We start from the raw sequence: 12,675 nt of genomic DNA on the forward strand, positions 1-12,675 counted from the left end.
TAGGGAGATGGCTTTGGGCAGGAACTCAGAGAGGGAGGGATTCATTCCATAGGCAGAACCTTGAGGATGGAGGAGAAGCGGGCAGCAAAGAAAAGGAGGAGTTGAGCATAAAGCCAGGGCTCTGTGAACCATGGTGGTGCCATTGATAAGATGATGAGGACCAGACATGTCTGGGATAAAAGTGAACATCAGAATAGAAAATATTTAGTGTTATGCTGAATTGAAATGGGAATCTATGTTCGAGTCTCTCAAAATCACTTGAGCTGTGAGGAGGCAAGATGGCCTCGTTTATGACGTAGCCTTCAGCATAGCGCCGATGTGCCCGTGTCACCAGCAGATGGCGCGCTCCGGGGTGTGAGCTGAAGCACTTCCAAAGGCCCATCTGCCTGGAAACCTTGCTGTCTTGCTATTTAGCTCAGAGCCCTGGAAGCGTTGCTTTTGATGTCTACCATTACTGCTTAACTTAGGAACGCTCTGCCTAGTGAGGGGTCTGTGCTAAGCAGAGTGTTCCTAAATGTAACTGAGCTCATCAAAGGGATGCCTGTTCCCATGTTCAGGTATCAGTAGACATCGTGCTTCGATACTTGGTTTGTGCCTAGTCGATGCACCGAATGATAACTCATTAGCAACAGGCAGGGGACAAGTTTCAGATGGTACTCTTCACAGTAAGACATTAACTGCCAAAAAATGAACAAGATAATTTCGGGTCAAAAGGAAATGTGCTCTGTTTGCCTGTAGACATACCAGAAGGTAGTTTTGCTAAGTCACAACAATCAAGATTGGAAGAAGAGGTTGCTCCGGGATCCCCTTTCTCAATAACAGAAGAAAGAGAGTTGCCAGGTAACATCATGCACCCAGCCAATGGTTCAAGTAGGAGTGGGATAAATGGGTCAGCACAGGATGTAACAACATGAATCACAAGGGAGGTATAGTTTTAAGATCATAGTAGCTACAAAATCCTAAAAACTAAGCTTTTGTGCTTTTGGAGACAAATAAGTTGTTGCACAAATTATAGATAAAAGCAAGTGCCATTATCCCCTAGCATTTTTATTTCTTCCTCGTAACTCTTCCTTCTGGGAATTTTCAGGGCCCAAGGGTTCCTAAAGTTATAGGTCTCTGATATGGTTGATAGTTATCAACCAAATTTTTGTGTGAGAAATATCTATACCGATTAAGAAGAATGATCTGGAATGTCTGCATGTTTGAGGCTGGCCTTCTGGACAAATGGTACCATGCATTTTGAAACAAAGGGCTCCAATGCAACAGATTTGAAAGCATTGATTCCAGACAGCCTGGATTTGAATCCAGGAGCTGCTGGTATGAGCATGCAAGACTTATGCAAGCTCTGTTAAATGGGAATCCTGACAGTACCTACTTCACACAATTTTTGTGAGACTTAATTGATGCTTGCAAATCCCTCAGAACAGCACCAGACCCCTTGCAAGCCCTCTGAAGACTGGCACCCAGAAGCAGTTACACCAGAGAAATACCCTAGCTATATGTCCTCCTTAGAACCTATTACAACACCTTGGCCTGCTTCTTAGACAAAATGTCAGTTGCCCCGATTTAAAGTGCTGGGAAGATATAGAAGAAATGAGCACTTTCCAGAGAGCGAGGTCATGTCCAGGCAGTCAGCGGGGCTTCCATGGTTCGCATCTGTGCTTCCAAATAACTCATCCTCTGGGCAACTGATGAATTGAGCAAGTCTACTTTGAACACTTTGTTAGTTTTATTCCATGTTTTGTTTTTGTTTTCCAGAAGGAATTTCCACTTCATCCCTAGAAGTTGTGCCAGAGAACTTGAACGGTTCTGCCATTCTCCCAACCTTTGAAAACTTCACTAAAAAACGGAAAAGAAAATATGAGGTAGTAGTCCACAAAACTTAAAAAACTAGAGCGTTATGAATCTGGAGGACATTATGCTAAGTGAAATAAGCCAGACAGTACCACATGGTCTCACTTATATTGAAATCTAAAAAAAGTTGAACTCAGAAACAGGGAGGAGAAGGGTGGTTACCAGGGGTCAGGGTTAGAGGAAATGGGAGATGTTGGATGGGGCATACAAACTTTCAGTTACAAGTTAATAAGTTCTGGAGACCTAACATACAGCATGGTGACTATAGTTAGTAATAATGTACTGTATACTTGAAATTCGCTAAGAGAGTATATCTTAAGTATTCCTACCACCCCCCAAGAAGGTAACTGTGTGAAGTAATGAATATGTTAATTTGCTTGATTGTGGTAATCATTAAAAAATCTTTTTTTAAGTAGAGATGAGGTCTCACTATGTTGCCTAGGCTGGTCTCAAACACCTGGGCTCAAGTGATCCACCTGCCTCGGCCTCCCAAAGTGCTGAGATTACAGGTGTAAGCCACCAAGCTTGGCCCGTGGTAATCATTTCACAGTTTATATGTATATCAATCATGTGTATACCTTGAATACATAACACTTTTGTTTTTAGTTTTTTAGAGATAGGATCTTGTTCTGTTGCCAAGGCTGGAGTGCAGCAGTGAAATCATAGTTCACTCTAACCTTGAACTCTTGGGCTCAAGTGATCCTCCCACCTAAGCCTCCCATGTAGCTGGGACTACAGGTGCATGCCACCACACCTGGCTAATTTTTTAAAATTTTTTGTAGAGATAGGGTCTTTCTATGTTGCCCAGTATGGTCTTACACTTCTGGCCTAAGGTGATCCTCCTGCTTCAGCCTCCCAAACTGCTGAGATTACAGGTGTGAGCCACTGTACCTGGCCTGATTTTTATTTGTCAATTATACTTCAACAAAGCTGAAAAAGAGGAAAGAAGGAAAAGGTAGTTCATTATGAATTTAAAGTAACAAGTTCATATTACTTATCAATGCTGTTGTTGACCTTCATATGTGAAAGTGCTTCTAAGTGTTTGGGGAGGGGTATTTGTCTTAGCTGTGGTCACTGATTTCAGTCTTCGTGAATTGTGGTTTGTATTTATAAGACAGCTATTCCATGTCCATTTGCCCCAGTGGGACCAAGTGGACCTATGTGTAAATCAGACTGATAGTTTGGTTTCATTGGTAGCATTTTCAGACAACTGAACTACCAGAAAGCAATGATTTGGTCACAGTGATAGACAAGGAGGAGGGGAAGGATGGAACCAAGTGGGCTAGAGAGGAGTCTGGGGCCGGGCATGGTGATTCATGCCTGTGGATCCCAGCACTTTGGGAGGCCAAGGGGGGAGAATCGCTTGAGGCCAGGAGTTCAAGATCAGCCCGTGCAACATAGTGAGACCCTGTCTCTACAAAAAATGTTTTTAAAAATTAGCCAGACATGGTGACATACACATGTAGTCCCAGCTACTCAGGAAGCTGAGGTAAGAGAATCCCTTGAGTCCAGCAGTTCAAGGTTACAGTGAGCTATGATCATGCCGCTGTGCTCCAGCCTAGGCAACAGAGCAAGACCATGTCTCTATTTTTTTTAAAAAAGAGCAATCTGAGACAAAGACGGAGGTGGACTGTGGGTTGGTGGCCGGCTGAGTGGTGGCAGACCTTTGAGACACTGTGCATACAGCCCATCCCAAAATCTTGTCTACAAGATGAATATTGGAACCATTTCAGTCTTTTCCTTTTTTGTCCTGTTACTTATAATCCCAAATGACTTATTTATTAGTACATTTGAGAAAAGTATATTACTCTAACCAACATTCATTTAATTAACTTAGATCTCCAGAGTCTTATTTTCTGTGATACCAATGTAAGCCAATTAGTAATAGAAATTTATTCATAGTATTCATTGTGTGTATTGGTAGTATATTAGGCCATTCTTGAATTGCTATAAATAAATACCCGAGACTGGATAATTTATTTTTTTTTAAAAAAAGAGGTTTAATTAGCTCAAGGTTCTGCAGGCCATACAGGAAGCATGGCACTGGCATCTGCTTGGCTTCTGGGGAGGCCTCAGGGAGTTTTACTCATGGTGGAAGGCCAAGGGGGAGCAGGCGTGTCACATAGGGAGAGCAGGAGCAAGGGGCGGGGAGGTGCCACACACTTTCAAACAGCCAGGTGTCATGACTCGCTGTTGTGAGGATGGCACCAAGCCATGAGGAATCCGCCCCCGTGACCCGAACGCCTCCCACCAGGCCTCACTTCCAGTATCGGGGATTACATTTCAATATGAGATTTGGGTGGGGGCAAATATGCAAACTATATCAGGTAGCATGAGTGTAAATTTTTCTATTTCAACTTGTTCTGTATTGGTCCTGAACCTGGGGTAATACCTGACAGGTGTATAGGATGATGCCTGATCACACTTGCTTAGCACTCACATTTGCTATGAATATTATTACATGCTGGCAGCATCTTTTTAACACAAAGCATGCACTCAACTTATGTAATTATATTAAATGTGATCATCTTGTTATTGTTGTTATGATTTAGCTTAGGTACAGAAAGCGTCCGTTTAATTCAGAAAATGCAAAGAAAGCACCGGATTGCCTAATAAAACTTTTAAACCAGATGCAACTGTTCAGGTAAGTTTTAGGTTTCAAAACAAGGTCGTGGAAGTGTGATCACTCACCAACAGCGTTTATCTCATGACCACTGTGCTAGGGCCCTGAGGAGTTGGGGCCTGAGCAGATGTGAGGATTGATACATCATTTAACCCTTCTGGGTTTCCGGTTCTTCATTCATATGAAAAGGGTTTGAACTAAATGTCCATCTTAAGCCTCCTCATGGTCTACCATGATACTAAAATGCTGTTCTTAAAAAAATCATTATCCAGTTATGAAGAGAAGGCAAGCATGGAAATATATGTTAAAAATACAGGCTAAATGAAATATGCTATATCCATACAATGGTCTGTTATTCAGCCTTAAAAAAGAATTAAATTCTGACACATGCTATACCATGGATGAACCTTGAAATCATTATGCTAAAGGAAAGAAGCCAGATAACAAGGGACAAATGTTATATGACTCCACTTAAATGAGGTGTACCTAGAATAGTCAAATTCATAGAGGCAGAGAGTGCAACACAGGTTGCCAAAGGTTGGGGAAAGGAGGAGCTGTGGTTTAATGGGTACAGAGTTTCTGTTTGGGATGATGGAAGAGTTCTGGAAATGGATAGTGATGATGGTTACAAAACACTGTGAATGTACTTAATGCCATTGAATTTTATACTTAAAAATGGTTAAAAGGGTATAAATATTATGTTATGTGTATTTTACCACAGTAAGAAAACACCAGCCAGGCGTGGTGGCTCACGCCTGTAATCCCGGTACTTTGGGAGGCTGAGGTGGGTGGATCACCTGAGGTCGGGAGTTCGAGACCAGCCTGACCAACATGGAGAAACCCCATCTCTACTAAAAATAAAAAATTAGCCAGGCGTGGTGGCGCATGCCTGTAATCCCAGCTACTTGGGAGGCTGAGGCGGGAGAATCGCTTGAACTCGGGAGGCGGAGGTTGCGGTGAGCTGAGATCATGCCATTGCACTCCAGCCTGGGCAACAAGAGCAAAACTCTGTCTCAAAAAAAAAAAAAAAGAAAGAAAGAAAAGAAAACACCATACACACACAGTGCACAGATTTGCACATGCACCTGGACACACACACACCCTTATGACCATGTAACAAGAAATACAGAGGTGCCAGGATTTCAGAGGGATGAGGAAAGGTAGTGGAGGGATGGGTTTCTGTAGTGATTTGAGTTAATTCAGAGTGATTACCAATGGAAGTGCTTCCTGAGTGAGGTTTTAGAAACAAAGATTTGAATGGCACAGGGAAGGTGAGAGTAGAAATTGTTCCTTTGTTGGAGAGAATGGCCTGTAAATGAAGGAAGGGAAGAAAGGAATGGCAAGTTGATTTGCTTAACTGAGACAGAAATTTTCTTAGGATGGAATACATTATTTGAATAGAAATTTTTACTATTTTTCAAAGTCTGGTGTGCATGCAATGTCCTTTGAATGTCAAAGCAAGCCCACGAAGGACTTTGGATTGGTGGAATTCCCATGCTCTTTCAGGGGCACACAGTTATCTGTGTATTCACTCAGCAAATGCACACTGGGCAATGTCGGATACCAGGCCCTGTGCTTGGTATGAGAGTGAGGTGAGGATGAGTTTTAGGTGCTTTTCATTGAAACATTTGACCTAATAGAGAAGACAAACTATAAGCAAGCAAATAAGAAAATTAACAAATAAGCAAATATGACCATTAGACAAAGAACAGTGACTCTTAGAAATGTTAGAGCTAAAATGTAGATGTGGGAAAAGAGTGTATTAGCTCATTCCTGACCACAGGTTTCAGGGCCAGCTTAATGCAAGAGAAAGGGGAGCAAGTGGAAGGTAGGAAGGGATGGGGAGCCTCAGTCTCATCTTCCCTGGAGTCATCTGTCCTTTTGTTCTCTACTAAAAAAAAATCAGCTTCCTCTGTGCTGCTATTGAAAGATGACCTGAGGCCAGGCACGGTGGCTCACGCCTGTAATCCCAGCATTTTGGGATGCTGAGGCAGGCGGATCACCTGAGGTCAGGAGCTTGAGATCAGCCTGGCCAACATGGTGAAACCCTGTCTCTACTAAAAATAGAAAAAAATGAGCTGGGCGTGGTGGCACGCGCCTGTAGTCCCAGCTAGTATGGAGGCTGAGGCAGGAGAACCACTTGAACCTGGGAGGTGGAGGTTGCAATGAGCTGAGATCACGCCATTGCACTGCAGCCTGGGCAACAAGAGTGAAACTCCATCTCAAAAAAAAAAAAAAAAGATGACCTGAGAGTTTGCATAGTGAGGTTTCCAGATTGGGGATGAGCAGGCAGGGAGGGGAGGGAAGAGAAGGGAGATACTACATGTTCCCATGACAAGAAATGTCTGGAGAAGAGTCTGAAGTATCCTTGTAATCAGATGACTTATTAAGAAAGTCTGCTGTCACATCCAAGCGATCCCAATGATATTTACTGCTTTTATGTTTATTAGACTCAATAAACTAGAGCGCTTTCAAAATTTGGTTCTTCAAGAGTTGAGCAGTCTTAAGCAGGATATTCAGGCCCTGGAACACCTTGAGAAGGAGGTTCTGGTAAGTTCTTTTTGTGTGGAACATTTTCTGACTTCGGATCTTTCCCAGGGAAAAATAACGCTAGCTACTTAAACAAAACTTTTGTTCAATCTTAGGAATTCTGGGGGAAACAGTCTGCTGATCTGCAATCTTTCTGTGATCTGCAAGTGCTGAGGTACTTTGAAAGGTGTTCTTTCTAGAAGAATCTTGGTTGAAGTATGAGGTAATGCTTTAGCTAGAGAATGGGCAGTTGGTGACGGTAAAACTCCCATAACTAATGAAATAGCTGCATCTTTTGAACCGGCCACTTCTGTGGCACCTCCCTGAGGACAGAGTGCGGCTAATGATACCATTCGAGAGGCGTAAATCTTGAAAAGCCTGATGTCCAATTTTCTGTGTTTTTTTAAAATCCCAATTTTTTTATTTTTAAGCAGTATTTTTTAAAATTAAAATGGTTAGATTTTGAGAAAAATGTTTAGGTTTCTAAGTAAACAGTTTTCAGTTTTATACAAATGTTCAGTTATATACAAAATTGTGCTTTTGATAGACTATATTCTATTTTACTCATTTACACATTTTTTAAAACAACAAATGGGTTGATCCTGCTGTGGCTCCCTGCACTGTAATTCATCAATACATCCTCTGGGGAAGCTCTTTCTATCCATTTGGGATATCGTCCCATCTTCTGGAGCCCAAGGAAGGGGAGAGTTGAGTCTGGATCCTCTACTTCTGCCCTGCGGGAAAATTCTAGTGTTCTTTCCCACTCGAATAATCAAAAGGAATCCCCATATAAATTTATAATAGTTAAAGCTTTATCTTCCAATTGAGAATCAGCTGCTTTCACAGAAATTTAAGGCACATGGTTTTAGGAAGGATATTCTTCCTAAAACCTATGCATATATTCCTATGCATATATTCCAAAGCAAAAAAAAAAATCTTTTAAAATTTGAGTTATCCATCCTGCCTTTTACTCCAATTACCACAGTTAATGATGATGACTGTATGAACCATTTCCACAATCCCTCACACACCATCTCCCTCTGTGTATAGTTAAAGGTGATGACACCTTTTAAACCATCTTCACTTAATACCCATGGTTGGTAGTTAGTGGTTCTCCAAGGTCTTGGAATCAAGACCTCTTTACATATTTAACATTTATTGAGGATCCCCAAAGACCTTTTGCTTATGTGGGTTCTATCTGTGAATATTTTTCATATTAAAAATTGAGACAGATTTTTAAAAATACACTTATTTTAAAATAACAACAATAAACCTTTTCGTGTTGATATAAATAACAGATTTATATGAAAAATAACTATGACTTTTCAGAACAAGAAGCATGTGGGAAGAATAGCATTGCTTCATGTTTTTGCAAATCTCTTTACTGTCTGGCTTAATAGAAGCCAGCTGGATTCTCGTATCTGTTTCTGAGTTTCATCTGTTGTGAGTCATGTAGCCTATGGGAAATTCCCCTGGACATTTTTGAGGGAGTAAGAATTTAAAAAGCAAATAATGTCTTAATGTTATTATTATTACCAAAATAATTTTGACTTCACAGAACCTTTGGTTTCTTAGGGTTTCCCCAGGCACACTTTGAGAACAGCTGATAAAAAGCCACACTGTGTTAAGCACTAGAGATTATATCCCCTAGTCTTCTGAAACCTGGGGGATTCATTTATTTTGACTAAATCCCCAATATTAGGCAACTCTCTCTTCAAACACTTTAAGATGTTAATTACTATTTGCATTCATCTCCCTTTGATAACAGGTCCCTGTGTGAATTTAAATACCTTAAAAACAACCATCTCCTAAATATACCTCCCCTGGGGTTTTGTGTTTGTTCTTTTCTCTTCCAAACACCTAAGAAAACTTTCCTCTTGCTTGCCAGTGAGGGATGATGGTGATTCTCTTAGCTCACGCTGAGTGCTTATGGGTGCCTGGCCCTGGGCTGAGTCCTTGATGTGCAAAGGGCCTTACAAGAGGTTAGTAAGCCTCATTCAAGGTCAAACAGGTATCCCTTGTCTGTCCTTATCTTATGTTTTCATGTCAGTGATGGCGTATGTGTTTTGTTAAAGAAATGAAAAGAATATCCCTCAGACTGGATTATTTCAGCCCCTAGCTTAGAACTACAAGGTGCTAGGGATTCAGTGCTTTGATGGTGCCCATGAAATACCTCTGCATATGTTGTGGGTCTGTGGTACTGACAGAGAGAATGCATAAAATGGAATCAGATGAACATGTTAATCTCTTACGTTAATATCCTGGGGTGTTGGTGTCTATAATTAAGTAATATAATGGTCTGTGAAATAACTCTGATATGCAGATGTATCTAGATGTATGTTCTTGTTTTTAAATTGTCTAATGTGAATATAATAAGAGATGGACCAATTTCTTCCAGGTTCAATTCAACTCAGACTTCATAAGAAAGCCAAAGCCTGGTTTTATGATTGCAGCCCTCAGGTAGGTGCAAAGATTTGCATTGTTCAGTGGATGTGAATCGGGGTCAGGGCAGGGAGCAAGCTCTAAAAGATACTGTAATGCTTTGTTCATATGACATTTCTGCAGCGGAACTTCTCCATTTTTTTTTTTTTTTTGATGGAGTCTCACTCTGTCACCCAGGCTGGAGTGCAGTGGCATGATCTCGGCTCACTGCAAGCTCCGCCTCCCAGGTTCACGCCATTCTCCTGCCTCAGCCTCCTGAGTAGCTGGGACTACAGGCACCCGCCACCACGCCCGGCTAATTTTTTGTATTTTTAGTAGAGATGGGGTTTCACCATGTTAGCGAGGATGGTCTCGATCTCCTGACCATGTGATCCGCCTGTCCTGGCCTCCCAAAGTGCTGGGATTACAGGCGTGAGCCACTGTGCCTGGCAGAGCTTCTCCTTTATAGCAATTTCTCCCATTTTAGAAATTATCCTTTTGGGTCTGGGTCATTCCTTCAGTAAGTGTTTATAACTGAATGCTTACCCTGCATCAATCACTATGATGGACATAGAGATACAGGTTGAGTATCCCTCATCCAAAATGCATGAGACCAGAAGTGTTTCAGATTTCAGATGTTTTTGGATTCTGGAATATTTGCAGAATATGCACTGGTTGAGCATCCTTAATCTAAAAATCTGAAATTCACAATGCTCCAGTGAACATTTCTTTGACATTGACATTTTAAAAATTTTGGATTAAATTAAAAATTTAAAATTTAAATTTTAAAAATTTAAAAAATTTGGATATCAGATTTTCAGATTAGGTATGTTCAGCCTGTTCAGTGGTTAATACACAAACGTGTTTAATGGAGGCAACCCATTAAAAGATACATTTTTTGAAGGAAGATAGAAAAATGGCAAGTAAACAAAACAATGACAACAAGTGCTTTGAGAGATATCAACAAGGTGCTTTGGCAGAGAACAGTGGTATGAAGTGTCAGCTTAAGACACTTCAAGGTCTCTCTGAGGAAATGACATTTAAGATGAGGTTTCAAGAATAAGAAGAAACTAGACTTGTGGTTTAAAGTAACAGGGTCAGGTATGGTCATCTTTGAGAAACAGTGAGTAAGGGAAGCAGTTATTTGAAGTGAATTGGGAGGATGGTAGACTCTCAACGAGGTAAGACTTCATTGTCCATGTTGAGGAGTTTGAATTTTATACTAAGGGTTAGAGAAAATATATGTGGTTTTTGGTGAAGCCATTGATTATCCTAATCTAGGAATAGATTAGGATAATATAATCTGATTTATATTTTAAGAAAATTACTCTAGATGCTATGTTAAGAATTGATGGGAGGAATGAAGACTGGATGAGGAGAGTCCAACCAGAAGGCGTTTGGTGTCCAAGTTGGTGGTTCTAAGCAGGAGGATAGCAGTGGAGGTGGTGAGAAATAGATTTCAGATATATTTTGGAGCTGGAGTTAATAAATTGCTGATAGCTGCAAGCAGTAGGTAAAGGAAGAAGAATGAAGTCAGTCTTCTAGGTTTTTGTCTTTTGCAGTGAGATGGATGGTGTTGCCAGTTAGATAAGGAAGACTCAGGGTGGGAAGAATATGTGGGTCAAACAGGAACTACAGTTTATTTAACATTTTAACTGGCAGATGTCTGTGCACATCCAAGTCTTGACAGGAACCTGGAGTAACTGGGCAATTTTCCAGGAAAATACAGTTTAACAAAATGGACTTCTAAATAGATGGGAAACCTTAGCAGACAAATCTTCATAGAAGAGAGAGACAAAGTTGTCAGAGAAGTACCCTACAAATATGTGTATGATCCAGATTACATTACAGAGGAATTCTACTAGTTTTTTAAAAGAAGGATAATGTTAGTGCTGCTCAAACCATTCTAGCACATAGAAGATTAAACATTTCCTAATTTTAACATAAATCTTGCATTACCATGTCAAAATGCAACAAAAATTGCAAAGAGAGGTACAGAACAATCTCACTTAAAATAACCACTCTAGGCTGGGCCTGGTGGCTCATGCCTATAATCCCAGCACTTTGGGAGGCCAAGGCGGGTGAATCACCTAAGATCAGGAGTTTGAGACCAGCCTGGCCAACACGGTAAAACCTCATCACTACTAAAAATACAAAAATTAGCCAGGTGTGGTGATGGGCAACTGTTATCCCAGCTACTTGGGAGGCTGAGGCAGGAGAATTGCTTGAACCCAGGAGGCAGAGGTTGCAGTGGGCTGAAGTCATGCCACTGCACTCCAGCCTGGGCAACAGAGCAATACTCTGTCTCAATAATAATAATAATAACAACAACAATAACAACAACAACAACCACACCAAAATTCTCAATAAAGTGTTGGCAAACAGAATTTAGCAGCATATTGTCATGACCAAGTGAGATTTATTCCAGGAATGCAAAGATGGTTCGATATTAGGGAATCTACTAATACATTAATTACCAGTAGATCTAGGGAGAAAAATCATTTTGATTATCTTTATTTCCAAAAGCATTTGAAAATTCTACATCTGTTTTTGAATTTGCATAAAACCTAATAAAATAGTAGCGATTAGTTACTCTGTAGTATGATAAATCTCAGTCCAAAAGCCAGTATTCTGCTTAATCGTGAAATTCTAAATGCATTATCACTAAAATCAGGACCAATGGATGGGAGATGGAATAACATAAAGGCGTCCATTCTGCCTAAATTAGTAAAATAATTTTTATTCCCCAAAGCCCCAGCAGGGTTATTTTTTGAAACTTGACCAGCTGATTCTAATGTGTAAGGACAAGGACAGGGGAAAAAGTAGATTGAACATGATTGAAAAACAAATTAGAAAAAAGAGTACTGGTACAAGTCCAAAGCAATTAGAAGGGAGTTAATAATGAGTTTCAAATCTGAAATAAACAAAATGGAAACCATAGGAGGAGGAGTAAAACCAAACCTGGTTCTTTAGAAAGACTAGATGCAGTAAACAAACTTCCACTTCAGACTGATCAAGAAAATAAAATGATAGGGAAGGCACAATGAAATTTTGAATGAAATGTAGAAATAACCAATTCATAGAGGCCTTAAAAAGCATAAGAATATATTAGAAACAGCAATATGTCAATAAGTGTGAAAACTTAGATGAAATGAACAATTTTCTAGATGAATATGATTGAAATGTAGAAATAACCAATGTAGAAATAACCAATTCATAGAGGTCTTAAAAAGCATAAGAAGATATTA

General features: G+C 40.3%; 1 protein-coding gene across 1 annotated transcript in view, besides 3 other annotated features; it reads left to right on the forward strand.

The window, feature by feature from the left end:
- Positions 1-12,675, forward strand: part of SYCP2L (synaptonemal complex protein 2 like) — an 87,258-nt gene that overhangs the window by 67,326 nt on the left and 7,257 nt on the right. Inside the window, exons 24-29 of the mRNA NM_001040274.3 lie at positions 739-840; positions 1,759-1,865; positions 4,407-4,498; positions 6,928-7,027; positions 7,123-7,181; positions 9,405-9,466. Of these exons, the coding sequence (NP_001035364.2) occupies positions 739-840; positions 1,759-1,865; positions 4,407-4,498; positions 6,928-7,027; positions 7,123-7,181; positions 9,405-9,429 (485 nt within the window). The 3' untranslated portion in view covers positions 9,430-9,466. The remainder of the gene's footprint in view (positions 1-738; positions 841-1,758; positions 1,866-4,406; positions 4,499-6,927; positions 7,028-7,122; positions 7,182-9,404; positions 9,467-12,675) is intronic.
- Positions 159-453: an enhancer, noted in NCBI's record as "tiled region #7443; HepG2 Activating DNase unmatched - State 1:Tss, and K562 Activating DNase unmatched - State 12:CtcfO". NCBI's record gives its function as "activates a minimal TATA promoter and a strong SV40 promoter by Sharpr-MPRA in HepG2 and K562 cells {active_cell/tissue: HepG2 | K562}" and the evidence as "EXISTENCE:reporter gene assay evidence [ECO:0000049][PMID:27701403]".
- Positions 211-260: an enhancer, noted in NCBI's record as "active region_23975". NCBI's record gives its function as "activates an Ori minimal core promoter by ATAC-STARR-seq in GM12878 lymphoblastoid cells {active_cell/tissue: GM12878}" and the evidence as "EXISTENCE:reporter gene assay evidence [ECO:0000049][PMID:35858748]".
- Positions 8,564-9,124: an enhancer, noted in NCBI's record as "OCT4-NANOG hESC enhancer chr6:10963174-10963734 (GRCh37/hg19 assembly coordinates)". NCBI's record gives its function as "activates a minimal SCP1, AML or CMV promoter by ChIP-STARR-seq in naive H9 embryonic stem cells {active_cell/tissue: H9 hESC(naive)}" and the evidence as "EXISTENCE:reporter gene assay evidence [ECO:0000049][PMID:30033119]".

The sequence above is a fragment of the Homo sapiens genome, chromosome 6 (assembly GCF_000001405.40).
Source record: "Homo sapiens chromosome 6, GRCh38.p14 Primary Assembly".
Taxonomy (NCBI): Eukaryota; Metazoa; Chordata; class Mammalia; order Primates; family Hominidae; genus Homo; species Homo sapiens.